This window comes from Homo sapiens, chromosome 10 (genome assembly GCF_000001405.40).
Source record: "Homo sapiens chromosome 10, GRCh38.p14 Primary Assembly".
NCBI lineage: Eukaryota > Metazoa > Chordata > Mammalia > Primates > Hominidae > Homo > Homo sapiens.
Genome location: NC_000010.11, coordinates 73,859,368 through 73,886,581, shown reverse-complemented (window position 1 = coordinate 73,886,581; position 27,214 = coordinate 73,859,368). Strand labels below are relative to the sequence as shown.

At 51.8% G+C, this 27,214-nt stretch overlaps 1 protein-coding gene across 78 annotated transcripts in view, besides 8 other annotated features; it reads left to right on the top strand.

Moving 5' to 3' along the window:
- Positions 328-437: an enhancer, noted in NCBI's record as "active region_3580". NCBI's record gives its function as "activates an Ori minimal core promoter by ATAC-STARR-seq in GM12878 lymphoblastoid cells {active_cell/tissue: GM12878}" and the evidence as "EXISTENCE:reporter gene assay evidence [ECO:0000049][PMID:35858748]".
- Positions 6,850-6,899: an enhancer, noted in NCBI's record as "active region_3579". NCBI's record gives its function as "activates an Ori minimal core promoter by ATAC-STARR-seq in GM12878 lymphoblastoid cells {active_cell/tissue: GM12878}" and the evidence as "EXISTENCE:reporter gene assay evidence [ECO:0000049][PMID:35858748]".
- Positions 11,305-11,414: an enhancer, noted in NCBI's record as "active region_3578". NCBI's record gives its function as "activates an Ori minimal core promoter by ATAC-STARR-seq in GM12878 lymphoblastoid cells {active_cell/tissue: GM12878}" and the evidence as "EXISTENCE:reporter gene assay evidence [ECO:0000049][PMID:35858748]".
- Positions 11,635-11,914: a silencer, noted in NCBI's record as "silent region_2494". NCBI's record gives its function as "represses an Ori minimal core promoter by ATAC-STARR-seq in GM12878 lymphoblastoid cells {active_cell/tissue: GM12878}" and the evidence as "EXISTENCE:reporter gene assay evidence [ECO:0000049][PMID:35858748]".
- Positions 11,925-12,084: a silencer, noted in NCBI's record as "silent region_2493". NCBI's record gives its function as "represses an Ori minimal core promoter by ATAC-STARR-seq in GM12878 lymphoblastoid cells {active_cell/tissue: GM12878}" and the evidence as "EXISTENCE:reporter gene assay evidence [ECO:0000049][PMID:35858748]".
- CAMK2G (calcium/calmodulin dependent protein kinase II gamma) overlaps positions 12,027-27,214 on the top strand; it is a 62,055-nt gene continuing 46,867 nt past the window's right edge. For 58 of the 78 annotated variants that reach the window (NR_160042.1, XR_007062000.1, XR_007061999.1 and 55 more), the window contains exons 1-3: positions 12,027-12,185; positions 13,499-13,593; positions 25,693-25,752. Coding sequence is in view for 54 of the 78 variants with exons in the window: in NM_001222.4 (NP_001213.2) it covers positions 12,121-12,185; positions 13,499-13,593; positions 25,693-25,752 (220 nt within the window). In the remaining 24 variants the exon portion in view is untranslated. Of the gene's footprint in view, positions 13,382-13,498; positions 13,594-25,692; positions 25,753-27,214 lie in introns of those variants that run through there. The other 20 variants (XR_007061995.1, NR_160041.1, XR_007061998.1 and 17 more) reach the window with 7 other exon arrangements.
- Positions 12,145-12,314: a silencer, noted in NCBI's record as "silent region_2492". NCBI's record gives its function as "represses an Ori minimal core promoter by ATAC-STARR-seq in GM12878 lymphoblastoid cells {active_cell/tissue: GM12878}" and the evidence as "EXISTENCE:reporter gene assay evidence [ECO:0000049][PMID:35858748]".
- Positions 12,575-12,634: a silencer, noted in NCBI's record as "silent region_2491". NCBI's record gives its function as "represses an Ori minimal core promoter by ATAC-STARR-seq in GM12878 lymphoblastoid cells {active_cell/tissue: GM12878}" and the evidence as "EXISTENCE:reporter gene assay evidence [ECO:0000049][PMID:35858748]".
- Positions 27,060-27,109: an enhancer, noted in NCBI's record as "active region_3577". NCBI's record gives its function as "activates an Ori minimal core promoter by ATAC-STARR-seq in GM12878 lymphoblastoid cells {active_cell/tissue: GM12878}" and the evidence as "EXISTENCE:reporter gene assay evidence [ECO:0000049][PMID:35858748]".

The window sequence follows — 27,214 nt, the reverse complement described above, 5'->3', positions numbered from 1 at the left end:
GTCCCAGAGTATAGCACCCTGCCTAGTACACAGAAGGTGCTCAGTTGGGTGCCCCATATACATTTGTTGATTTGGCTCATTGAGGGGCACCTGGAACCTGCCAGAACACTCCTGTTATCTAGCTGGCATCAGCAACTTTTATTCTGGAGCTCATTCCATGTCTGAGATCTAGTGATCTACTGGAAGAAACCATAGCTGGAGGCACCAATAATGGACTGTGGGGCCTTGGGTTCTAAGACAGACTTGGTGCTGGAAATGACCCCTGGGGTGGAGTGGGCTGAGTAATCTGGTAGCTCTCCGGCTCTCTAAAACTGGGTCTAAGGCGGCCTCTAGTGGACAAGCAGAATCACTGCCCGTTTGGGGTGGAGACCTAGCCTCCTCACTTCTGTGGCCCGCACCATCTCCAGGTTCTCCATCCTTGGGCCCAGAGTGGAAAGCATTCAAGATGGCACCACCACCAATATAAGCGGCCCATATCAGAACAGGATCCATCCAACGGACAGACCCGTTAAAAAGCACTCACTGTGTATAGCACACAGTGCTTGGCCACAAGATATGAGGAGAAGGAGATATAAGGAGGAGAAGACTAGGGCTCTGCTTTTAAGGGACCTATGATCTAAATGAGAAGTTAAAACCAAAATTTTAAGAAAGCAAACAGCAAGCCCATAATTAGGTGCCAACCATTTCAAGGGGTGAGTTCAGAGAATCAGCGCAATCTCATCTGTAAAATGAGAATACCAAAACTTACCCTTAGGGTTGTTATGATGATTAAAATGAGATAGTAGGGAGAAAATATGGCATTATTGTTGTTGTTGTTCAAGCAATCTATGTTCAACATAAGAAATTTATTATTTGTGGCCGGGCGCAGTGGCTCACGCCTGTAATCCCAGCACTTTGGGAGGCCGAGGTGGGGCGATCAAGAGGTCAGGAGATAGAGACCATTCTGGCTAACACAGTGAAACCCCATCTCTACTAAAAATACAAAAAAATTAGCCGGGCGTGGTGGTGGGCGCCTGCAGTCCCAGCTACTCAGGAGGCTGAGGCAGGAAAATGGCATGAACCCGGGAGGCAGAGCTTGCAGTGAGCCGAGATCACGCCGCTGCACTCCAGCCTGGGCGACAGAGTGAGACTCCGTCTCAAAAAAAAAAAAAAGAAGAAATTTATTATTTGTGTTTGTTTGTTTGTGTTTGTTGTTGTTGTTTTTTGGGACGGAGTCTGGCTCTGTTGCCCAGGCTGGAGTGCATTGTTGCAATCTCGGCTCACTGCAACCTCCGCCTCTCGGGTTCAAGTGATTCTCCTGCCTCAGCCTCCTAAGTAACTGGGATTACAGGCATGCGCTACCATGCCCGGCTAATTTTTGTATTTTTAGTAGAGATGAGGTTTCACCATGTTGGCCAGGATGGTCTCGATCTCTTGGCCTCGTGATCCTTCCACCTTGGCCTCCCAAAGTGCTGGGATTATAGGCGTAAGCCACTGTGCCCAGCTGCTAATTTTCGTATCTTTAGTAGAGATGGGGTTTCACCATGTTGGCAAGGCTGCTCTCAAACTCCTGACCTCAAGTGCTGGGACCTCAAGTGCCTCCCAAAGTGGCTTCCTGAGGGCAGGGACATCACCTCTTTTGTTCACTCCTTTTTTTTTTTGAGACAGAGTATTGCTTTGTCACCCAGGCTGGAGTGCACTGGCGTGATCTCTGCTCACTGCAACCTCCACCTCCTGGGTTCAATCAATTCTCCTGTCTCAGTCAAATAGCTAAGACTGCAGGCGCACGCCACCATACCCGGCTAATTTTTGTATTTTTAATAGAGACGGGGTTTCACCATATTGGTCAGGGTGGTCTCGAACTCCTGACCTCAGGTGATCCACCTGCCTCAGCCTCCTAAAGTGCTGGAATTACAGGCGTGAGCCACCGCGACCAGCCTTGTTCACTACTATATCCCCAGCACTGAGACAATGTCCCATTAATATTTCTTTTTTTTTTTTTAAGACGGAGTTTTGCTCTTCTTGCCCAAGCTGGAATGCAATGGCGCAATCTCGACTCACTGCAACCTCCGCCTCCCGCGTTCAAGCAATTCTCCTGCCTCAGCCTCCTGAGTAACTGGGATTACAGGCATGCACTACCATGCCCGGCTAATTTTGTATTTTTAGTAGACATAGGTTTTCTCCGTGTTGGTCAGGCTGGTCTTGAACTCCCGACCTCAGGTGATCCACCCACCTCGGCCTCTCAAAGTGCTGGGATTACAGGTGTGAGCCACTGCACTTGGCCAATATTTCTTAAAAAGGAAGAAAAAGAGATAGGGAAGGAAGGAAGGGAGGGAAGGAAGGGAAGAAAGGGAAAGAAAGGAAGGAAAGGAAGGAAAGGAGGGAGGGAGGGAGGAAATAAAAAAAAGGTAGAGAAAGAAAGAGAAAAAGAAAGAGGAAAATGAATAAAATGGGTCAGCAAAGTTAGAAGGAGGGCTACTGCAGAAACTCGGGAGGCTGAGGAAGGCCTAGTCCAGGATGGTGGGAGGGAAATAAAAAAGAAGAGATGGATACAAGGACATGTAAAGGGAAAAATATATAGGTGTCAGTTCCTAATGATATACAGGATGATAATGATAACAAGTACCATTTATTTAGCATCAGGCATCGAACCATTCACCTACAAATACTATCATTAAATTATTATAACAACCCTACAGTGAAAGTTACAACATCTTTATTTTACCAATGAGGAACATGAAGCTCAGGGAGCTTAGTTACCTTGCCCAGGTCGCACAAGTATTAATAGTAAGCAGCAGTCCCAGAATTCAAACCCAGCTCTGCCCTCTAAGCGAGATAAGGGATGAGTCAAGATTGACTCCAAGATTCTGAACCTAGGTCATCAGCAACTAGTCACGTCACTGTCAGAGCCAAGGGAACCTGAGAAGAAAACTGGTCAAGGTTGGCAAGGGGTATAGTTACAATGGCTAATATTTATTGAGCCCTGACTATTCCAGGCACTGTTTTGCCCTTCACTTATACTGATAATTTATTCCTCATAAAATCCTATCAATAGATAGGAGGAATAAGTTCAAGAGATCTATCAGGAGATACAGCACAGTGATTGGCTGGGTGCAGTGGCCTGTAATCCCAGCACTTTGGGAGGCTGGGGTGGGTGGATCACTTGAGGTCAGGAGTTTGAGACCAGCCTGGCCAACATGGCAAAACTCTGTCTCCACTAAAATTACAATAAATAAATAAATAAATAAATAAATAAATAAATAAATAAATAAAAATTAGCTGAGTCTGGTGGCACGTACCTGTAATACCAACTTAAGCATGGGAGGCAGAGGTTGCAGTGAGCCAGGATCATGCTGCTGCACCCCAGCCTGGGCGACAGAGCGAGACCTTGTCTCAAAAAAAAATAAGTTAGCATGGTGACTATAGTTAATAACAATGTACTGTATTCTTGAAAATAACTAAGAAAGTCGATTCTAAAGTGTTCTCAATACAAAAAACAGTATGTGAGGTATGCATATGTTAATCAGCTGCATTTAGCCATTCCATAATGTATACATATTTCAAAACAACATGTTGTATATGATAAATATATACATTTTTTTGCCAGTGAAAATAAATTAGATGCTAATTAAAAAAAAAAGTCTATGAAGTGAGTACTACTATTCCTATTTTGCCAGTAAGAAAACTGAGGCGCAGACAAGTCATAAAACACAGGCCAGGCACAGTGGTTCATGCCTGTAATCCCAGCACTTTGGGAGGCCAAGGCGGACAGATCACTGAGGTCAGGAGTTTGAGACCAGCCTGGGCAACATGGTGAAACCCCGTCTCTACAAAAAATACAAAAAGAAAATAGCTGGGTATGGTGGCACACACCTGTAGAACCAGTTACTCAGGAGGCCGAGGTAGGTGGATAGATTGAGCTTGGGAAGTCTAGGCTGCAGTGAGCTGTGATTGCACCACTACACTCCAGCCTGGGCAACAGAACGAGACCATGTCTCAAAAACAAAAAACAAAAGAAATGCTCACAGGCTCCCATGGCTAGTGTGTTCTTAACCACCATGTTATCCAGCTTCTCAATGTGGTTAATTTGGATGGGGATCATGTTGAATTTGGGTGGATAGTGGGACATTCAAGTGGGAATGTCTGGAAGGGGATCATTTGTAGCTCAGGTCTGGGACCTAGCAGCCTCTGGACCTTGCCTGGAGTCCAGAGAGTTGGACATGGGTCTTTCTTTTTTTTTTTTTTTTTTCTTTTGAGATGGAGTCTCGCTCTGTCACCCAGGCTAAAGGGCACTGGCACGATCTTGGCCCACTGCAACCTCCGCCTTCCAGGTTCAAGTGATTCTCCTGTCTCAGCCTCCCAAATAGCTGGGATTACAGGCGAACACCCGCACACCTGGCTAATTTTTGTATTTTTAGTACAGACAGGGTTTCGCCATATTGGCCAGGCTGGTCTCGAACTCCTGACCTCTCAGGTGATCCTCTTGCCTGGGCCTCCCAAAGTGCTGGGATTACAGGCGTGAGCCACCATGCCCGGCCTGACATGGGTCCTTCCTGAGGCAAGTCCCTGCCTGGCCTGTTAGCCCACCCACAGCCAGGCACGATTTCCACATGGCTGGTCCCAGCTTTATGGCCTGTTTCTCCCCTCTTCACCCCCTCCCCTCCATTTCTCCTGACCACCCCATGTCCCAAACACCTGCCAAGCCCTCAGCACCTCAACACTGTGTTTTCCACTGGCATTGCCACCTCAACTCCACCTCTATCCACCAACATCCTTCCTCTCCTTCCTCTCTGTTAAGTCACTTCTGATGGTTCCAACTGATTCCATTACTCCCATTTACATCATACTTTGCTTTTACTTTCCAAGCATTTATTGAGTACCTACTACAGCCGAGGCACTTTAGATCCTGGGGATGCCAGGATGAACATAAACAGGAATAGACCCTACCCTCATTATGCCTGTAGTCATAGAAACACCTGTATACACTTGGGACGAGTGCTTTGAAGAAGTGGCAGGTGGTAGTTTTGGGGCTGTCAAGATACAAATTTGATCTGATCAAGAGGCCAGGGAAAGTTACCCTGAGAAAATGCTGCTTGGGCAGAGACCTGGAGGACAGACAGGCAAAGAGGGAAGGGAAGAGTGAGTCAGGCAGCCACTTGTGCAAAGATCCAGAGGCTGCCTGTGGTATTAATCTTGGGGCTTGTATCCTTGTTTTATTATCATGTTTATCTTCTTGTCCCCAGTGAGTAAAGCTCTTTAAGGCAGGGCCTATTTCTGGCCTGTTGCTGTCCGCTGGAGGGGTTAAGAATAAAGCTTGCCCAGGGCAGGGAGACAGTTGTTTGAATGGACTAAGGGGAAACTGCCTGTTTCTGCAGAGACCCCCAGTGCATCACCCCCAGAGTCCCTGGAGTGCAGACAGGTCATCCTGTGGCCATCTCTACCACCCTTCTTTGTGGTGGCCAGGGGCCAAGGAACAGCATCACTTCTAGCTCCAGACCCAGATTTATGTCTGTCCTTGATGAAGGTGTCTTCTTGCACTGAGCTGGGATTTCAGGTCTCCTTTGTTTGTGAGCATGGAGGTAGCCTGTCCTTGTGGGCTCCCTGCGAGTTACAGAGTTTGGGGCCACAGAAGGAACATCAGGGTGGTTGTACCAGGATGTGGGGTTTATTACGACCTCTGGGCCCTATTCTCCTCCTGCTGCCCCCTGGCCCACTCTGGCCACACCAGTCTTCTTTCCACCCCTCAAATATGCCATGACCTTTTTTTTTTTTTTTTTGAGACAGGGTCTCACTTTGTTGTACAGGCTGGAGTGCAGTGGCATGATCACGGCTTACTGCATCCTCTGCCTCCCAGGCTTAAGTGATCCTCAGGCCTCAGCCTCCCGAGTAGCTGGGACCATGACCATTTTTTATCTCAGGACTTTGTCACTGCCCCTTCCACCAGGAATGCTCTTGTTTGGATCTTCAAACAACTACCTCCTTATCATCATTTCTAAATGTTATTCCTAAATGTCTCCCTTAAAAGTTGCGTTCAGAGAGCCCCCAGGTCTGAGCACCTCGGTTAAAGGCGCCCTCTATGTTCCCTACCCCGTCACTCTCTATCCCCATTACTTGATTTTACTTTCTCTGTAGTAGGACCTAACTCCAGTCCAAAATGACCTCTTTCCAGTTACACTGCCTGCCTACAGGGATGTAAGCTACAAGAGGCAGAGTTTTGCTGGATTCTCCTCTTCTGTTTCCTAAATGACTGTAACAGAGGAGCTACTCAGTAAAATAAATGAATGAATGAATGAATGAACAAATGTCCCCTGTGGGTACATGCCTGGATTCAGGAGGCTGGGACTAGATTGAGATAAATCCACACTGAGTTTAAGATTCCAATCTAGATGGTATTGGTGGTGTCAGCCTATCTGGATTGCTCCCCATACAATTTACTGACCCCCCTATCTCTTTCTATTCACTGCCCTTCAATCATATTCTCGCAGCTCCACCATAAATTGTGTTAGCTATTTGCCCTGGGACATGCTACTTCACCTTTCTAAACTTCAGTTTCCTCCTCTGTAAAACTCCCACACTTGCAGGGTGATGGTGAGGGTTAAATAGAGTAGCTTATTTAGAGTGCTTAGTGCATGTGCCTTGTAAGTAGCAAGCTTTCTCTAGACGTTAGCTACGCTGGTGAGTTTTGTCATCCTCACCACACCTCCCTTTGTCATTTTTTTTTGACGCTCCCCTTCCTGTACCTCCCTGTGCCCCTCACGTTTGCCCACCAGGGGGCCCCACATGCCGCTCTTCCTGCCCAGGTCGTCCACGCTGACGCATGCCGCCCGCCTGTCGTCACATCAGTACCTCCCTTGTGCCTCTGATGACAGCTCTGTCACTGTCTCTGATGACAGATTTGTCCACTGGTTCTGCCTCTTCACTGCAAATATCTCAGCCCCTTGCACCCAATACTTCATTCATTCCATAAATGACAGCACCTACTATGTGCCAGGCTTCAATGGTAGGTGTTGGGGATACAAAGAGAAAGATCAGCAATGCCCTGCCTTCAAGAAGCTCACAGTCTATAGGAGGATGGCAGAGGGGTCAAGAGGCAGAGGGGGCCATGCCCTGGACTTGATGGATGAGAAGGCCAGGATCACATTGCTCTTTGGAACTAACCCGCTGGCTGGAAAATGTAAGGAAGTTCCCCCCTATCAGGCCCTCAGCTCCTCACGTTACATATTTCTACACTTACCTGAATTTCTCAGCTCAGCTCTTCATCCCTAGTGCCTCAAACTCTATTCCAGACACCTCAGTTCCTTACACCAGATGCTGCAGCCCTCGCCCCAAACTCTCATTCCAAAATCTCCTACGTCCCAAACTTTAGGAGCTCAGCCACTCACCTCAAATATCTCAGCCCCTCCTCTAAGAAATACTGCAGTCAGGCCAAGTGCTGTGGCTCATGTCTGTAACCCCAGCACTTAGGGAGGCTGAGGCAGGAGGACTGCTTGAGTTCAGGAGTTCAAGACCAGCCCAGGCAACACAGCAAGACCTCGTCTCTACTAAAAATAAAAAAAGAAATTAGTAGGACATGGTGGCTTGTGCCTGTAGTCCCAGCTACTCAGGAGACTGAGGTGGGAGGATCACTTGAGCCCAGGAGATAGAAGCTGCAGTGAGCTAGGATCATGCCACTGAACAGTCTAGGCGACATGGTGAGACTTTATCTTAAAAAAAAAAAGAAAAGAAAAAAAAAAATGCTGCACTCATTGACATAATCTGTGGTTTCAGTCTTTTTTTTTTTTTTTTTTTCCAGCTTTTAGACTCAGGAAGGATGGGAAAAAGTAGTGATTTGGAGAAGCCCACTGGTAGGCTTTTTCTGATGTACCTTCCAGGGCAAAGAGGGGCATCCTTCACTCCCTCCCAGTGTGAGGATTGCTTATTTAAATACTGTGTTTACAGTGGCTCATGCCTGTAATCACAGCACTTTGAGAGGCCAAAGCAGGAGGACAGCCTGAGGCCAGGAGTTCAAGACCAGCCTGGGCAACATAGCAAGACCCTCATTTCTACCAAAAAAAATTTAATTAAGCTCGGTATAGTGGCATGGACCTATAGTCCCAGCCATTCAGGAGGCTGAGGCAGGAGAATGGCTTGAGCCCAGGAGTTAGAGGCTGCAGTAAGTTAGGATCACACCACTGCACCACAGCCTGGGTGACAGAGTGAGACACTGTCTCAAAACAAAACAAATGTTGTATTTGCTTTCTCACTCTTTCCTATCTCCATGATCACATCTTCTCTCCAGTTTTAAATGCCGCACCATTAATAATTCTCTCAGAGTTCCTTGGAGAGAGGTCATGATCTCATCACTCCTAATTCTCCAAAACTAATCATAGAATCTCAGAGTTGGAAAGGACCCAGAAGTCCAATGGGTTCCAAACTTCTTTTTAGTCAGGGACTCTTAACTGCAACCAAATCTTATGTGGAACGTCAATATATATATGTTGACTAGCTGTTGCGGCCTGGCCTCGTAACCCCATGGATTCTGCTTAGAATATGGATTGAAAACCCCTCATGGACGTGAGACTTTGCAGGCTTCAAAGAGAAAGATGGTCCCACCCAGTGGGGTGCCTCTGGTGCTTATCAGGGTACTGATATCTTTGTCATTCCCTGTTCTCTGAGCTCTGAGCACAGCCTGAGTGCTGGTGCTGCCCAGGGGACTGGCTGCAACCAGAGCAACCCAGCCCAAAGACCCCAGGAGGTTGCCATAGACACTGAAGTGGAGGGAGCTGGTGAGCTTGTTATTATTTGTGTGTATCTTCCCTCTAATTGCTGTAGGGTAGCTGGAGGTTGTGTGGGCGCTACAGCAGTGGGGATAGAGGAGGGTGTATGTGCGAGGGTGTGTGTTTGTGTGTGCACACAGAAGTGTCTATAGGCTCCAAACCACCACCGTGGATGCGTCAGAGGCTGCGCTGTTGAGAGAAGTAGTGAGGGAGGAAGGGAAAAGTGAAGTAGAGATACAAAGGAAAAAGGAGGCTGGACAAGGTGGCTCATGCCTGTAATCCTAGCACTTTTGGAGGCCAAGACAGGATGATTGCTTGAGTCTACGAGTTTGAGACCAGCCTGGTCAAAATTGTGAGACCTCATCTCTATAAAAAAATGTAAAACTAGCTGAGTGTGGTGGCACATGCCTGTAGTCCTAGCTACTTGGGAGGGTGAAGCTGCAGTGAGCCGTGACAGCACCACTGTACTCCAGCCTGGGGGACAGAGCGAGACCCTGTCTGAGGGGTTAAAAAAAAAAGACGATGGATTGAGTTTTCTTCTAATTGTGTGAATTCTAATTTTCTACTTTATTTGAATGTTTCAAAAAGTAAAAGGCAGTGACAAACCTATGGTAGGGAGTCATATTTGTTGAAAGGCAGCTAGCTCCACTTATATAGTACTATGAGTCACCCCTGAGGCTTCACTCCAATATTTTTCTCATCACTCTTCCTTTTACCTAGAGACACAATGCAAAATGCTTTACGTGGTTACCCCAAAACACCTAGTGTTGAACCCTCCCCTCAGTCGGGATGATGTTCCTCTCACAGCAGGCACATGAGACTGGTCAGGGTTGTAGTCCTGTTTTACATTTGCCCCAGGATACTCCTAGGGGACTCCATGGCAGCCCTCCTCTGTGCTTGTTCTGACCTCTCAGGGTCTCCTCCACTCCACCTTCCATTCATGAATAGAAAGTTTCAAGTATCAGCCTGGAGGTCAGGAAGCAAGTTGCCTTGAGCACTTAGGAAGGGCACATTGATGATCAACTGATATTCAAAGTTGCTTCTGCTTTGGAGATGGATGACAGAAACTCAACACTTACTGGCATCCCCATGTATGCAATCTCATTGCCCTACCCCACACTGGGACTTGGGACCTGGCTCTCACCCAGGTGCTTTGAGATAGGAAGTGGCCTTACTCTCCACTTTACCTCCTGTTGCCCTGGGGAGGGGTAGGGCATGGTGCTCTGGCACTGCTACCCTTTCCCTTGGCCCTCTCTACCCTTCTCCCAAGAGAACTGCTAATGCTTTTCCTTTAGGGCTTCATGCCCTCCCATTCCCTAATCACCCCTACTGGGCAGTCTGGTTCCCAAAGCAGCTCTCAGGGCTGTTGGGTCAGGACAGGAGGGGAGCACTCCTGGAGAGCTCTGCCCCACCCACCCCTCAGGGAGGCAGCTTGGGAGGCTGGGACACCTCTCAGCCCCCTCCTCTGGCAGAGCGAGCCTGCTGGCGAGGGAGACCCGACTCCCAGTGGGCGTCCTGCTGTAATCAAGACTGAGTGGCAGCCTCTGGCTGAGCTCCACCCTGCCCAGTTGGGGCTGGCCTCAGCCTCAGGGGACAGCTGCCCAGGCAGGTCAGGAACCTGCCCAGCCTGTTTGTCCCCCATCAAGACAGTTATGTGCCTCTGTCCCACCAACTTGTGATGGTGGGGACAGGAGAAGGGATGGTATCTCCCTCTGCCATCCCACAAATATTTACTGAGGGTCAGGGGCTGAGTGTACAATGGTGAACAAAAGGTGCAGAGGCCCCGCTTTATTGGAGCCTACAATTCAGCGGGAAGCTAGTTTTTGTATTTTTAGTAGAGACAGGATTTCACCATGTTGGCCAGGCTGGTCTCGAACTCCTGACCTCATGATCCACCCGCCTCAGCCTCCCAAAGTGCTGGGATTACAGGTATGAGCCACCACGCCCGGCCCAGCAAATGTAGTTCTAATTAGGCACCAAGTACTATTCTAAGTGCCTTAGACCATTTAATGCTGACAGGCCTATGAGGTAGGTAATATTATTGTTCCCAGCCGGGCGAGGTGGCTCATGAAGCCACCTCTGTACTACATACATACTTCATTACTTCATGTATGTACTACATACATACTTCATTACTACAACATAATGAAGCCCCGTCTGTACTAAAAATACAAAAAAATTAGCCGAGCGTGGTGGCGCGCGCCCATAATCCCAGCTACTCGGGAGGCTGAGGCAGGAGAATCGCTTGAACCCAGGAGGTGGAGGCTGCAGTGAGCCAAGATCGCACCACTGCACTCCAGCCCGGGCAACAGCGCAAGACTCCGTCTCAAAAAAAAGATTCAGTGACTTACCCCAGGTCACAGAGCTGATCAGTGAGTTGCCTAGAAATCCAATCCAGGCAGTTTGATGCAAGTTCACGCTTAGACAGCTATGAGATAGCTCTACTGCCCCTTATACCAGTCAATGCATCACTACAAAATGTGGTAGGTGCCAGAAAATAAAAGTACGAGGGTGCCTTGCAAGAAAATGGGGATTTCCCCTTTCTTCCACTTTCTCTTCTAGCCCCCACTGCACAAAGCCTTTTCAAGTCTTCCTACTTCACCCCTTTCATTTCTGGCCGGATAGAGAATACTCTTTCATCTCTGCAGTTATGGTGCAGGAAGGCAGAGTCCTACCTGTATCCTTGCCCCTGGCCTGGTCTCCCTGATCAACCCGCGCCTGAAGGGTTTCTTTCTAATAATGGCCCTGGTGCTTGCGCAAGTCTAGACTGTCAGCTCCCAGAGGGAAGGCGGCTGGCAGCTGGCTCTGCGCAGGCTGGGGGCGCCTCCCGGGCGTGCAGCCTGGCACAGGCTCCTTGACCTTGGCTCTCTCCCCACGTGCTAGGAGCCCGGTTGGGGGCTCGGGACCCGCGTGTAGGACCCGTCCAGAGAGGTCAGTGGTCCAGACTCCTACACTCCTAACACATGCACCCTCGCATGCACGTTCCCGAGCCCGCGCGGGGTCCGCCCCGGGACAAGCCCATAAGTCGCGAACCTTCCAGCTCCGTCTGCCCAGACAGGTGGCCCGGAGCGGGGACCCCCTCCCCTCGGCTGCCCCGCGCGCCTGGCCCAGCGAGGGCGGCTCCGGGGCGGGGCGGGGCCGGCGGCGGGAGGCCCCTCCCCGGGGGCGGGCCGGGGGCCGGGCGGGGGGGGGGACTGGCGGGGCCTGGGGGCGGGGCGGGGCGGGCGGCGCGGGGGTGTCCCTCCCTCCCTCGCTCTCCCCGGTAAAGTCTCGCGGTGCTGCCGGGCTCAGCCCCGTCTCCTCCTCTTGCTCCCTCGGCCGGGCGGCGGTGACTGTGCACCGACGTCGGCGCGGGCTGCACCGCCGCGTCCGCCCGCCCGCCAGCATGGCCACCACCGCCACCTGCACCCGTTTCACCGACGACTACCAGCTCTTCGAGGAGCTTGGCAAGTACGGCCCGCCCGCCGCGGTCCCCTGCCTGCCCTGCCGCCCGGGAGCTATGCGGCTTCTCGCCCCGCCCCCCGGCCCTGCACCGGCCGCTGCGGCTCCCCCTCGGCCGCCCCACCCCCGCCTTTCCCGCCCGCCGCCTTCGGTCCCCGCGCCCCCCGCGCACTGCCCCGCATCCCCCTCCGCGCCCTGCAGCAACTGGCGGGGCCGCTGCTCCCCACGCGCCGCCGCGGACACCGCAGACCCCGGACCGCTCCCGGGTGCCCTCCAGCCCCGCCCCTCCGCACCCTTCAGGCGCCCCCCTCCCGACCACCTCCCAACGCTGCCCGGTTGCTCACTCCGCACCCTGAACCCAGGTCCCACGCGCCTCGCACTCAGGACCCTCCCCAGCCCTGCAGCCCTAGCTCTGCTGCGGAGCCCGGGCGTGGGGGGGCTGTTTGGCGCCCGGCCCCGCCCCCCGCGGGTGCCGCTCCAGGCTCCCAGCCCCGCGGCTGGGCAGTGCTGCGGCACCCCCGTCCCCTCCCCCCACCCCTGCAGTGGTCCCGGGAGCCGCGCCGCAGCCTCAGCATCCCCCTCCCCTCCGCACTGAGCTGGCCGCTGCAGCAGCCCCGGCCCCCCACCCCCACCCGCGGCGCCGAGCCCGGCCACTGCAGCCCCCGCCCCGCCCGCCCCCCCAGACGTTTCCAGAGCTCAGAGTGCGAGCTCCCGTTTGACGGGGACGTCAAGGAAAATAGCATGGGAAGGGGAGTTCTTGATGTCTGACTGTGTCCTCTCTTCCCTTGCTGTCAGTTGAGCCGGGATGCAGTGAGATGAAACCGGCTGTGGGGGGGTTTGAGCCTCACTTTGCCCCATGGTTGAGGGAGATTTCTCTTTCAGGGGATGATACCCTCTTTTTAATCTTTCCTTCCCCGACCTTCAACTGTTCCTGCTGAGAGAAGGGCAGGGTCTCTCTGCTCCCTTCTGCCCTGGTTCTCTTGGCCGGGACCGCAGGGCTGTCTGAGATGCAGCAGGTGTGTGTTTTCAGCATCGCCCACCCGCTCCTGATGTGCAGCCTGAGGTGGAGGCTGTTGCCTTGCCCAGGGACTGGATGAGGGGGTGGGAGCGCGGCACGCCACCCACATCTGTTCAGTGTCCTGCGGTGGCCGCGTCCTTTTGCCTCATGTTGGATGGTGGTGGTCACAGCGCCGGTGTGTGTGCATGTACGTGAGTGTGACTAGAGGTCTGGTGGTGGGAGCATCATCGTCCCCAGACTTGAAGTGTGTCTGTGTCACTCTGCCCTGCTCCGTGTCCCAGTTCTTTTCCCCTTCTCCCTCCAGGGGTGCTTTCTCTGTGGTCCGCAGGTGTGTGAAGAAAACCTCCACGCAGGAGTACGCAGCAAAAATCATCAATACCAAGAAGTTGTCTGCCCGGGGTGAGTGTTCCCTGTCTTGACCTCTTCCTGAGGGTGCCTCCAGGGGCCATGGTTTCTTTTGAGGAAGCCCCAGGAATTGGGGGTTGTGCGTTTTAGCACTTGGAGAGGAGTTGGAATTTCAGACTGGTTGGACTTTGTGTCAGGCTGAAGCCAGAAAAGGAGTTGCATGGGGGACTGGAAGCGCCCAGGTACAAAAGAATGAAGGAAGAGATGCAAGTAGCTGCAGTGGCCCCCAAAGGCTCAAGGGAGTTCGGTCTTCAGGGAGGTGGAGGATATGGGGGTAGTGGGTGGTACAGAATGGGGAGCTCTTAATTTGGGGCATTTGGAGCCTCTCCCTTTGGGGCAGTGGTGGCTACTGCAGGCCTTTCCTGGTCCCTGTGCCCCAGTGGTGACTTAGGATGGAAATGCAGTAAGTGAGCAGCTCTGACAAAGCCAGCCTCCCCTGCCCACCAGGCGGCAGAACAGACTCCCAAGGGAAGGGAATCTGTAAACATCAGGGGAGGCTGCTACTGGCGAGGGCTTCTCAGGAACAAATTCTGCCAGATGAACTTGATTGCTTTTTTGATCAAATTACAAAGTTGGTGGTGCAGCAGCAGATGTAGTCTGTCCTGGGTGGAGGGTGATGCCTCATGGTCTAGAAATCCCAAAGGCCCGGTTTGGGCAGGAACTGCACTGCCTCCGAGTCTGAGGAGCATAAAGGCCAAGGCCTTGGGGCCTCACTTGCGAGATCCTCCCAAGTACCTGAGGCTTGGAGGGTCAGGGCCTGTCTTTCACACCTTGAACCTACACTCTCTGAACTTCCTATTGGGTACTTGCCAAACTCACCTCATCTGATAGGTGTAGACCCAGCAATGTGTGAAGTGCTCTGGGAACAGGTCTGGTGAGTACAGAGGTCAGATCTCGGAGGGCTGCAGGGTGCAGCTGGGGGACAAAGGTTGTGAAACTCAGAGAAAGGAATTAGGGCTGGGCAGTAGGATGCCATAAATATATTAGGAGCCAGGACACATGCCCTGGGGAAGACATGGGCTTTGGCCAATAATGACACGGGTTTCTCTGGGATAAGAGACATAATAGATGTCCCAAATGCTTAGAGAAGCTCTACAATTCCACGGGCTTCTGTCGTGTTGGCAGTTGTTCTGGGACCTGTTTAGCAGGGCCGTGTCCACTCCCTGACTGGGGACTCTCTCTCCATCCCTCTAGTAGGGCACTAATTGCTGACTCCCATCCAGCTCCATCTCTTGCTGTTCGTGTACATTGCCTATAAAGTTGGACTTGTTTGTTTTCTTTCTCTCTGGGTACCTTGAGTCTGAGGATGGTTGCCATAGAGATATGTGGGCAGTCAGATACCCTGGAGTGGGGGTGGGGGGGACAACAGGGGCTGGGCTCTCTGGCAGACATCCTCTGGCCAAGGATGGAAGGTGCAGGCAGGAACAATGGCTTGAGGCTGGATACCTCTCTTGCCCACACAGCAGAGCCCTGGTGCATCAGAAACAGGGCTGGCATCTGGTGTCTCCAGTTGATGATGCAATGCTTTGCTCTCTTCATCTCACCAGTGTCCTCTGACCCATGGGTAAGAGAAGGAGAGATGGCTGGGAGCCGAATTCTGGGATGTGAGGATAGGTGATGTGGTGACTTCCTGCAGCTGCCTGACTGGGGCTTTCATTTCCTACTCCTTCCCTACCTGCGTAAATTTCCATGACCTGTGTGATAGCCTCCCTTTCCCTTCCTCACCTCCTTTTAACCTTGTCCCATCTTTCCCAATGGATATCTTTCCCTGGCCAAACTGGATGAGACTTGATTTCTCGTTGATTTTTTTTTTTTTCCCCTCAAGAAGAGGATTCTTGTGTAAAAGTATATGCTTCAGACAGCAACTCCCCCTCTCCCAAGATGGATATGCCAAGACTGGGCTCTGTTGTGTGGCCTCATGTGCCAGGTTGACTTTGGGACAGAGGCACAGATGATAGGCACAGATGCCAGCCAGAGGGGTCAGAATGTGTAAGTGCCAGCCAGTACTGTGTGGAGGTGGGAAAGTGGAAAGGGGCTGTCTTGGAGATGGAGGGAACAAGGTGGGGCTGGACTATAGGTGTGGGCATGGGAGATGTGAACTCCTGGAGAGATCTGGGCCAGGGTAGCCATGGGCTGGTTCCCATGGGGTTAGGGAGTGAGGGCCATGGCTTCCCTGCAGACTCTCAGTTTACACTATATATTTTATAAAGGTGCAGCCACTGGAGCTGGGTTTCACTCATCGCTGTCTGCCTAGGTCTCCGCAGGTGTTGGATTTCTGTGTCTGGGAATGTCGTGGGCCCACCAGGGTCATCTGTGAAGGTCTGAAGGGGCTTGCTGTGTTCACTGGGTCTTCCTGCCTCCTGTCTTTCTTGTTTGTGATTCTCTGGGCTACAAACTGAAAAGATAAAAAGAGGGTATAGAGCTGTTTCTCCTTGGCATCCCTGGTGAGGTGGCTAGGAGTCAGGGAGAGGGATCACCTGTTCTTCTGGGGGGGTCCAATCGAGACAGGAAGCCTTCTTTTGGGCTGTTGTGTCTTGTCACTGTGGCCTCAGAGGCCCACATTGGCGGCTAGGTTGCAAGGTGGGGAGTTCATGCGGATATGCGTTGAGCACTGTCTTTGTCTGCGGGCCTGTCTACATAAAGTCACTGAAAGTCACATAACGTCACTCCGTTTGCTTCAGAACCGTGATAGGAGTGGAGCTGGGCTCTTAAGGGAGCCCATGGTTCCAAGCTTAGCTCCACTAGGCCGAAGGAGGCATTTAAAATAGGCTTGGATGCAGGAGCTAGTGGGCCAGGTGATGGCAATGATAAGTCGTTATTTTAAGATTTAAGAGCACCCCCCTCAAGGAGCCTGAGCCCTTATGTCTTTTTTTATTTTTAAATCTTCATATTCCCTTCTTATCTTTATTCATATGCATACAGATTTTCACCTCGTGGAGCATAACATTTTATATCCTGCTCTCTTTGCTTATATCCAAAGCATTTCCCCCATATTACTACAGTTGAAGGGCAAATGGTCCTTTCTTCTACGTCGTTTAGGATTTATCCCTAAAACAATCAGCATCACAAGAAACTTCTGTATATGTACCATTTATCTGGATTCCAGTTGCTTTTACCAAGATAGATACTGGGGTAATGCCCTTGGCCTTACTAAGAGATGCTACCGGAAACAGTGTTTTGAAATCTGTTATAATACTTTAACATATTTATTTAATCTGTACATTCCGTGTGAAGAAATTTCTTTTGAAGCTAAATGTAAGCAAAAGCTTTCCTCTTTGTGAGGACCTGAGAGGTGAGGGAAGGGTCCTTATGTGTTTCTATACTTCTGCATGGGCAGGCCCTAGCGAAGTGCCTGACGTATGCCAGCCACATACACATTAAATGAATGGGTCAAGAGGACTATGTAACCAATCATGGTTGCCTTTTGGCTTTGGCTCCTAGGAAACTCAGAGTCAAGTTGCCAGAGCCCTTGTACCCTGCTACAGACTTGGGTCCTCCCTTTCTGATCCAGGGAGCCAAGCTGCAGACCTGATACGGCTGCTGGAAGAGAGGACAGATGAGGATAAAGACCTGTGCTTGGGGCATAAGGCAGAGTGGGAGATGTAGGCAGACATTTAGCTGATGATTCCTCCTTCCCTGTCACTAAATGGCACTATAGGGCCACTGTTGGGATCTCTTCCAGGTAGTGATTTTCAATTTTAGTGTGCGTAAGGATCACCCTGAGTACTAGTTTAAAAAATACAGACTTCTGGGCTTTAGCCACAGAGATTCTGCTTTAGGAGGTCTAGGGTGGAGCTGCAGAATCTGCATTTTTAACACATGCTCCAGTGAATTTCATGCAGGTGAGGCATGAGCCACTCTTTAAGAGATGCCACCTAAAATCTGCAACAACAGTTGCTCTTGCCATGCCCTCTGGAATTCAACAGACACACCTTGGCCCATCCTTCTCCAGATTGTGTGTCTGCCACTATGTGGCCATCTGTGCACATGGGCTGTTCTGTGATTAGGGGCCTCGTTCTGGGCCTCGGGATTGGGGTGTCTGTGTCTGAGGCTGCGGCAAGCTGGGTGGCTCGGGTTGTGGCATGTTGGCCACCAGAAGGGTAAAGGCTGTCCCTTTCTGGGTCCAGCTGGCCCTGGGGACTGAAATGGGATCCCCTGGATGGTGCCAGCTGAGAGTCCCCGCCCCCTTAGTGTTGGCCTGAGTAGCCCCCATGACATTTGTGTCCCCTGTGGTATCTCCAAGTGAGACTTTCCTGTTAAGGATCTGGGTGAAGTGAGGGAAAGAGAAGGGAGGGGGAAGCAGTAATGCAGGGAGTGGGAGAAGGAAGAGAAATCCACACAGCACTGGAACACAGGCCTCGAGGAAGCATTTAAGGAGGCTGTGTGCGAAACCATGCTTTCCTCCTGAGGATAAAACAGGCCAATTTCTGTAAACAGAGAAATGGGCATCCTGCATATCAGTGATGGAGCGCCTCTACTTTCTCTCCTGAAGGGATGGAAGCCGACTGCAGGTCCCTCTGTGCAAAGGCTTCTGCCAGGCGGCTTTTGTCACGCGGTCACGTTGAGCTGTGGGCCTTAGCACACACAACACTGGCCTGTCCCCCTCCCCTCCCACCTGTCTTCCTAGAGTGACTTGGGGTGCTGCATCATGGTGTGGGGATGGAGGTGGGAAGGTTGCCCTGTCCTGTCAGGGAGGCCCCTGCCTTCTTCCTGCTGCTTCCTCTGGTCCCTTGTCACCATACCCTTGTTCGAAGCTGTGCTGAAACCCTAGAGGTGAGTGGCTGACCCCATTCTCTGCTGAGACTGGAGATAGGGAAGGGGAGGCTGGGTGTGACCATTCCTGCTCCCATCTGTATGCTTGCTGCTCTCTGAACAGCTTTGGCAGACCAACAAGGGCCTGATCCCATGGGTGCCAAAAGGGTGGTGACAGGAGGAGATGGGCACTTTGCACCTCTTGAATGCCTCTCTGCAGAGCCCCTTTGTCACCTACCCATGGCCAGACAGATCTGCCGCAGGACCGCTGGGGAAATCAAAGCACAAAAGCTTTGTCTGGGGTCTTTTTTTTCTTTTTTGGTTTTGTGCTGCAGGTGCCCATGACTTTGCCAGGGCTCAGACCCAGCGTCCTCAGGCCGTGTGGCCTCCACCCACTCCTTGGCGCCTTTCTTTAAAACACAGGTTCTGGATACTTTGTTCCTGTGATGAATCTTGGCATATCACCTCACACCTCTCCATCTAGGCCCCAAGCTCCAAGCCTGGTGGAGCAAATCCCTCCTCGTTGCTGGCTGAGGCCCCATTCCCGTCTGTACCCACCTCTCTGGGCTGTGCGGTGGGGAGATTTCCAGCCACTCCTCCCCAACACCATCTCCGCTTCCTGGGCCCTATCAGCAGCAGCCGCAGCTTCCCATCTGCTCCCCTCTTTTCTCCTCCCTTTCTTTCCCTTCCCCCCTGCTTGCTGCTGCCCTGGGAGGAGCTATTTTTAGGGGCTGCTTCCTGGGATGTTTTACTTGGGGCTGGTTACCATGAAGGAAATGTCACCAAAACAGTGGGCAAAGGCTGCAGGCACCGGGAGCCCTGCCGGGGGGCATGGAGAACAGACGGCTGACCCTTTTCTGGCCCTTGAGAGCAGCCAGAGTGCCCCCAGGCAGAGCCTTGCCTTCTTGGGGCTTGCTAGTGACCCCTTGGGGATTTTCTCTGTCAAAGCTGATTGAGGGCCTTTTCGCTATAGGGCATTTCTTGGAGCCTCTCGCTTCCCTTGCCTTGAGATCCAGAGGCCAAAGTGGGGCTCAGGTCTTTGTGTCACCAAGTTAAAACTGCTTGAGTGAGGGTTGAAGATAAGGGGAGGATGCTGGGTACATGCACAGAGCCTTGGGGGTTCACATGGGACCATTTCAGGCCCCGTCCCTCTGTATCACAGCCCCCAGCTAGTCACCAGGTGTACATGTGTGAGGGCATTAGAAACCATGGTCCTGCTCTTGTGTGTCGGATGGACTTTGCTTTTAATTGGAGACTCTTTGCATCTTTAGAGTGAGATTCAAAGAGGAAGGGATGTGGCATCACAGTGTCAGGGTGAGGTCGGTGGGATCGTGGCTTGGGATTCCCACTGGTCAGTGTCCCAGGCCCAGGGCTGTGCATAAGCAGCTGGGGAAGGTGGATTATGACATCAAATCCCTGCGATGTCCTTGTTTCTGCTCCTCAGAGTGCCAAGGGGACCAGACGGCGGCCTCTGCTGCTTGGGAAGAAGATGAAAGGCACTCAGGAGGGCAGCAAGTGAGGCCGCCTCCCATGGAGCCCTGAAATCAGTGGGGTTGCAGGAAGTTTCTCACATCCATGTTTAGGGTCATAGGCACAGACCTGCAAAATACCCTTTACAAAGTTAAGAATGTCTTTGAGATTGGAACTTGGGAGAGTCCTCAGTCAGAGTAGGAATGTGCATCCTTTCCCACGTACAGAGGATTGTATGTTTACGTGGCAGCAGGATCTTATTTGAAGCTAGTGCTGGCATTTGTGTTTTTTTTTTAGGAAAATGTCACTAAGTCAAGCAGGCCCATCCCTGAGAGGGCCATGGAGAATCTGTGGCCAGCCCTCCCTGGCCCCCTGACCTGGCAGAGGAAGGAAAGGGCATTGGAGTAGGCTTCTGTCTTCAGGCCAGAGGGGGAGGTGGTTCAGGGGCAGGCTTGGTGCACCCCTTGGCTGCAAGCTATCACCTCCCTATCTGCTTCCTCTTTTCTGCCTCCCCTGGTGCATCTGGTCACTTCTTGCTGCCCTTCCTGTGAAATCGTGGCACCTTGGACCAAGTCCTGAAGCACTTGGGCAGAAGGCGGGAGAGGTTGGGTTTCTAGGATCCTTGTTTCCCAGGGCCTGGCTCTGGCCTGGGCTCAGACCACTCTGGTCTAGGCAGGCTGCTGGGGAAAGGCTGGAGCTGCTTCTGCTTTCTGCTCCTGTTGCCACCTCTGCTAATGATGGGGAAAACCTGCAGAGGGCTGTGGTTGGAGCTGGGCTGAAGGCCGGCAGGGGTGGGTCTCTCCATGGCAGTAGCACACAGGCAGGCAGGAAGTGGCCCTGTGCAAAAGCGGGAAGTGGCAGTTGTCAAACAGGAAGGGGGGGGCTGGGCTGTGGGAGGGGCGGGGATGAGCCTGGTAGAAAGGTGCGTGGAGGAGGGTCCACCTTGGAAGGTCTGAGCCTCTCCCTAGTGGTTACTGGAAGGAGGGGTGTCTCAAGGGGAGACACCTTTGCAGCACCTTGAGATGCCGAGCCAGGGCCCTCCCACTGTGGACCAAGCCCATTCAGTGGCCTCGCCCTTTTTGGGGTTGGAGATGCTGCGTCCAGCTGGGATGCCCTTGCTTTTGGGAAAGATGCTCTAGAAACCACTACTCCATCCTGGAACCCCTCTGCTGCCACTGCTGCTGGGATGGACCCTCTGCTTTTTTGCAGCCGTGGGCCAGCCCTGGATGTGACTACAGGACAGGAAGTGTCAGGGGAAGAGACAGGAGACAACAGCTGGAGAGGCTGGGTGGTGGCCGGGCAGTATGTGGCAGCAGGAACGGGGAGAGCGGGGCAGGTAGAAACTGCTCTGTTCATTGAGGAGAGCTTGTGGATGGCAGGGTGCCACGGCTGCGAGGAAGAGGAGGGAAGCGGACAGTGGCACTTCCTGCGGCGTTCCCCTCTCTCTGAGGAGCCCCTGTTGCTGCCCATCACCTGCAGACTGTAGACACAGGTGGGCCCCGCCAAAACAGGGAGGGACACTCCACCTCCAGGACTGCAATGGAGGACCATGTGGGGAGCCCAGAAGCCAGGCAGGAGGGCTTAGTTGCTGTGTTGCAGACCCTGCATCTGCCTGGGCTGAGGGGACAGTGGGTCCCATTCACAGTGTCTCTGGTGATAGCTGTGGCCACAAGCCCAGCCCAGGAGACCCTGTCAAGCTTCTCACTGGGCCCTTGGAAAGGAGCTATATGCCAGACCTTATGCAAAACTCTTGACCTGTACCACCTCAGTTAAACCTCAGATCTTGCTGTCTCTATTTTAGAAGTGAGGAACCTCTTGGCCGGGTGCCGTGGCTCACGCCTGTAATCCCAGCACTTTGGGAGGCCGAGGCAGGCGGATCATAAGGTCAGGAGATCGAGACCATCCTGGCTAACACAGTGAAACCCCGTCTCTACTGAAAAATACAAAAAAATTAGCCGGGCATGGTGATGGGCGCCTGCAGTCCCAGCTACTCGGGAGGCTGAGGCAGGAGAAGGGCGTGAACCTGGGAGGCGGAGCTTGCAGTGAGCCGAGATCATGCCACTGCACTCCAGCCTGGGCAACAGAGTAAGACTCCATCTCAAAAAAAAGCAAAAAAAACAAACAAAAGAAGTGAGGAACCTCTTTCCCAAGATAATGTGCCTGGCTCACTGTCTCACCTACTTTGGGTCCTAATCAAATGTCACCTCCTTACTGAGGCTTTCTTGGACTGCCCTACTCAAATCTGCACTCCCCACTTTCTCTGCTTTTTCTACGCAGCACTTGCCGTGACATCTAACGTGCTGTTGAGTTTTCTTACTGTCCATCCCTCCCCCATACACAACCCACTAGAGTGTCAGCTCCATGAGGGCAGGGATTTTTGTCTGTTTTGTTCGCCACTGTCTTCCTAGCATCTTGAATACTGTCTGTCACATAGTAGGCCTCAGTAAATATTTCTTTTTTTTTTTTGACTTGCTCTGTCACCCCAAGCTGGAGTGTAGTGGCCCAATCTTGGCTCACTGCAGCCTCCACCTCCTGGGTTCTAGTGAGCACATTTGGCTAAATTTTGTATTTTTAGTAGAGATGGGGTTTTGCCATGTTGGCCAGGCTGGTCTTGAACTCCTGACCTCAAGTGATCCACCCACCTTGGCCTCCCAAAGTACTGGACTGGGATTACAGGCGTGACCCACCGCGCCCAGCCACGATAAATATTTCTTGAAGGAATGAATGAAGCTCGGGTGGGTTTAATAGCTTGCTGGATGTGGCAGTGTTGGGCTCAATCCAGGGCTGTCTGACTTCAAAACCGATGTGTTGTTAATTGCCATACTCCACAGCTTAGAATCAGAATGAGGATCAAGGTATAGTCCTGGGGTTCAGAGAAGACCTGGGCCTTGCCGGGAACACAGGGCTCAGCTCCTTGGAGTTAAGGCTGAACTAAGAGGCTAACAAGGACCCTCTGGATGCTGGGCAGCTCCTTTGAGGAGCTGGGAGCCTGAGTCTGTGTATCTTCTCTCCACTCAAAGTCACTGGTAAAGCAGAGTGCCCTTATTTTTAGTGCTGTTGCTGTTGTGGGACTGTAACCATTAGCTAGTAAGAGACTTAAGGAAGGAGATAAACATTAATCTTCTGGGCCTTCCCTCAGCTGCCACCTCCGCATTGCAAGATGCTGTTCTCCTGCACCTGCCCAGGCAACCAAGCCTGAGAGTTATGGGCTGGAGGGTGGTGAGGTTTGTGCCCAGAGAGAGGGCCGTGGGTCTGTAGCTTTGGGGCTGGCTGGCTTGGTACCTCCATCTCAAGTCCAGGGATGGAAGGAAGGTGGGGTCATGTCAACATCCTGCCAGATCTGGAAGAAGCAAGCCCCCCAGCCACCAGGCAAGGCTGTTACAGCCTCCTTGAGTGCCTCGCTTCTGGAGGTCACTGGCCACATCCCTGTGCCTGGGACCAAGGGATGCCAGGTGATCTGGGAGTTGGGAGTTACTTGGGGTTCTCCTGGCTGCATCCTGGTCGGTGGTCATGCTGAACCCAGGCACAGGAAGGAAGGCCTGACCCAGATCTTTGGGCAGCTGGGACGGATTAGCTGGGCAGCAGGAACTAATCTCTGTCTGTCCCCACCTCCTTCCACAAAGTAGAGCTGTTGCTAGAGGGAAAGTTTAGGACAAAGCTGGGTTTGGTTAGTGAAACAATAAATGTGAATTTCTTCTAGTCCATAATCCCTACATTATCTCACACTGACAGTCCTGAGTTTGAATCCCCCTTTTATCCCTTTCCTGCTGTGGGATCTTGGGCAAGTTACTTAACTTCCCTGGGCCTCCGTTTCTTCCATCATCTGGAAATGTGGACAATCATAGCATTTACCTAATGGGATCATTGTGAGGGCTGTGGGAAGATTTACAGAAGCTTTTTGCTGTTTAGGGTAGAGGCAGGGAGACAGGAATAGCTTGGCAGCTATGGATGTGAAGGCCCCTGCCCGGGCCTGGATAATTCAGGGTGAACTGGACTCTCTTCCTTTTGCACCCCCTCCAAAGCCTAGAGTCTTAACTCAACTCTCACCATTCTTTATCTGGCCATAATAGCACAGGGGTGGAGAAAGAGGGCTCTAGGCTCAGACCACCTGCATCACTGCCTGTTCGTGTTACCTTAGGCAGATTACTCTATCTTTTTAAACCTGTTTCCTCGGTAATATAATAGAGCTAATCAGATCCCTACTTCACAGAGTTTCTGTAGGTATGAAATATGGTAATCCATGCCTCTGCCTGACATGTAGTCAGTGCATAGTAAGCGATTGTTATGGCGACTACTGTTATTAGTAAACCCTTATTAAGCCCCTGTTTACAGAAAGAACTCTAGAAAGCACTACCTGGAAAGGTACCCCCGCCCTTCGAAGAGCTTGCAACTGAAAGATAACTGATGTAATATATGATGTGAGAATCGTGAGAAGTGCATTGGGAAATCGGGGGGGGGGGGGGTGGAGTAGGAGGGAGAAGTCACAGTCTACCGAGAGGAGCAGGGAAGACTTCATGAAGGAGGTGACTTTTGGCAGGATTTCAGCAAGTAGAAAGAGGGAAGGACAGTGGGGGAGGGCTGTGAGGCCTCCGTGCTGTGAGTAGCATCCTCTCTTCCCACGTACTGGAGCTCTGCCTTCCTGTGGAAGGAATTGACCCACGCAGCTCACTTGGATCTGGGGACTTGTGGATTTCTGGTTATTCCACCAAAACCAAGTAATCCTGGAGTCTGAATTTGAAGAGGTCAAAGCTTACAGCCATGGTGGCCAAGAGGACTCCGGGGAGAAGCAGGATTTGTGTCCTGGTTTCTCTTTCTATAAAATGGGCATCATACTAATGCCAACCTCCTAGAGTTGTTATGAGGATAAATTAAAAGAGGCAGCTGCCTGGTGTAGAAGTAAGCTCTCAATAAATGTTAGCTATTATTATTTTAAGTCATCATTATCTTGATCATCAACCTCTTTATTATCAGCATCATTATGTTTCAGGCTTGCCATCAGGACTATGTAGAGAATATATGCAAAACCCCTAGCCAGTGCCGAGTATATATTAGGTGCTCAGTATAACTTAGCTATTATTAGTGTTCCTAACAAGAAAGAGATTCTGGGCCAGGCGCGGTGGCTCACGCCTATAATCCCAGCATTTTGGGAGGCCGAGGCGGGTGGATCACCTGAGGTCAGGAGTTCGAGACCAACCTGGCCAACGTGGTGAAACCCCGTCTCTACTAAAAATACAAAAATTAGCCAGGCGTGGTGGTGTGTGCCTGTAATCCCAGCTACTCGGGAGGCTGAGGCAGGAGAATTGCTTGAACCCAGGAGGCGAAGGTTGCAGTGAGCTGAGATCACACCACTGCACCCCAGCCTGGGCAACAGAACGAGACTCCGTCTCAGAAAGAAAAAAAGAGATTCTGGACACCCTGGACCACTGAAACCCTGTTGTGGTGGAAAGAGCACCAGAGTTTTAGTTGAATACCTGGATTCAAATCCCAGCTCTGCTGCTCACTGGCTCGAAGTGTGCAAACCCTCAAGTCATTTCCTCATCTGGAAAAGGTGGTCATAACTATCTATCTGGCCCAGGCCTGGTGGCTGGTGCCTATAGTTCCAGCTATTCAGGAGGCTGAGGTGGGAGGATTGCTTGAGCCCAGGAGTTTGAGGCTGCGATCATGCCACTGCACTCCTGCCTGAGGGACAAAGTGAGACCCTAAAATGAAAGGAAAACAAGTTGTCTCCAGGATTGCCATGACTTGCTGCATTACTTCAGCAAATCATCACAAATGCATAGTTAGTACCTGAACTGAAGGAATATGAATAACAAGGTGACCACAAGGAGAATGGATGGTTGATGGCTTTTGTTTTTTCTCTTCTGCTTTTAGATCACCAGAAACTAGAACGTGAGGCTCGGATATGTCGACTTCTGAAACATCCAAACATCGGTGAGTGCCTGGGCATGGAGCATTTTGTGGGTATTTTGTAGAAGCAGGGATAACAGATATCCACTGCTTTTGTGTGTGGGATCACCTCTGTCTGTGGACCTTCACCTGGTGTCTGTTTTTACATGAGCAGGATAGCAACTGTGTCTCAGAATTCTGGGGCATTCTAGTTTAGAGACCTGAGTATCTGCATCACTGCGGCACCTTCTCAGGGCTGGGGTGTGAGGCATCAGAATAGGTTTCAGATGCTATTTCTTCCCTTTCTCCTTCTGTCTTTGGGCTGAGGTCCAGGGTCCTCAGCGTGTGAGGTTCCGGGCTCCTAGCCTGCCAGCGTCCCTCACCAGGGGCCATCCACAGCCCTCATGCAAGGGTCAGGATTTTGTTTGTGGACCTGAAAGAGTTTTGTTCCTGCTGCGGTGTCCTGCACACTCTGGGGGTTTCCATGGTGCTCCCATTTGTATTCCCCAGAGCCAGGAAAGCAAGCTGCCCCCCTGCCTGGCTCCTCTGGAGAAGGGATGGCAGGAACCACTCAGATGGGGAAGGAGAAAAAAGAGGATTTCTCCCTGCTCCCACCCTGACTGGGGGGACAAGAGCACATTGTTGGTTGTGCTAAAGCCTGAGGAGGTTTGCCTGCCTCAACCCACTCTGGCTCAGTTTTACTTTGTTCAGCTGAAATGGTCTTTGCCAAAAGCGTTGGCCCTGATTTGGTGCTCCTTGCAGAAGGGACAGAAACTGGGCTGGCTGCAGTGTCTGAGCAGAAGCCCCAGTGTTGACTTGAGGCAGAGCAAGGAGCATCTCCTAGGTTTTCCCTGAAAGCCCTGAGTCATCACAAAAGACAACACGTGTTCTGTGCTCCTCAGGCATGGCCTAAATCTCAGGGCTCCCACCGTGCCCCAGAGGTCGCCTGCTCTGCTCTGTTGGCGGCCAGGGCTGTGAGGTGACTTGCTGAAGCCTAATGCTTCCTTCAGAGCTACCCAGCCCCTGGCTTCCCAGGTCTCGGGCTAGAACAGTCAAAGTGAGCTCTGTCATGGAAGGGCTGAGGTCCTGCTCTAGCCCTCTGGGAGAGGAGCAGCTCTGAGGTAGTCAGAACGTCAGCTGTGCAGGGCTTTCTAGATGGCAATCAGCAGCTTGGATTACACCCGAAGCAGATTGGTGTGGCCAGTGGTGATCGGCTTTGCCTGATGCAGTGTGTTCTGCAGAGCCAGCACCTCTCAGCTGGTGGGTTCCTGGCCGCAGAACTACTGGAGCTCCTAGGTGGTTTCTGAGGTTAGGCCTTCACCTGAAAACAGCGCAGTGGGGACTGACATGTTGCCTTTGGTAGGAGAGGGCCCACAGAGGGAAACACCTAGAACAGCAGTCACAGATTAGGCATGTTTTGCTTGGCTGACTCAGTGGTCTAAAAATATTTTTATTATTTGCCAATATTTAAAAATGAGATTTCACATTTTGAAAAAAGAAAAAATCT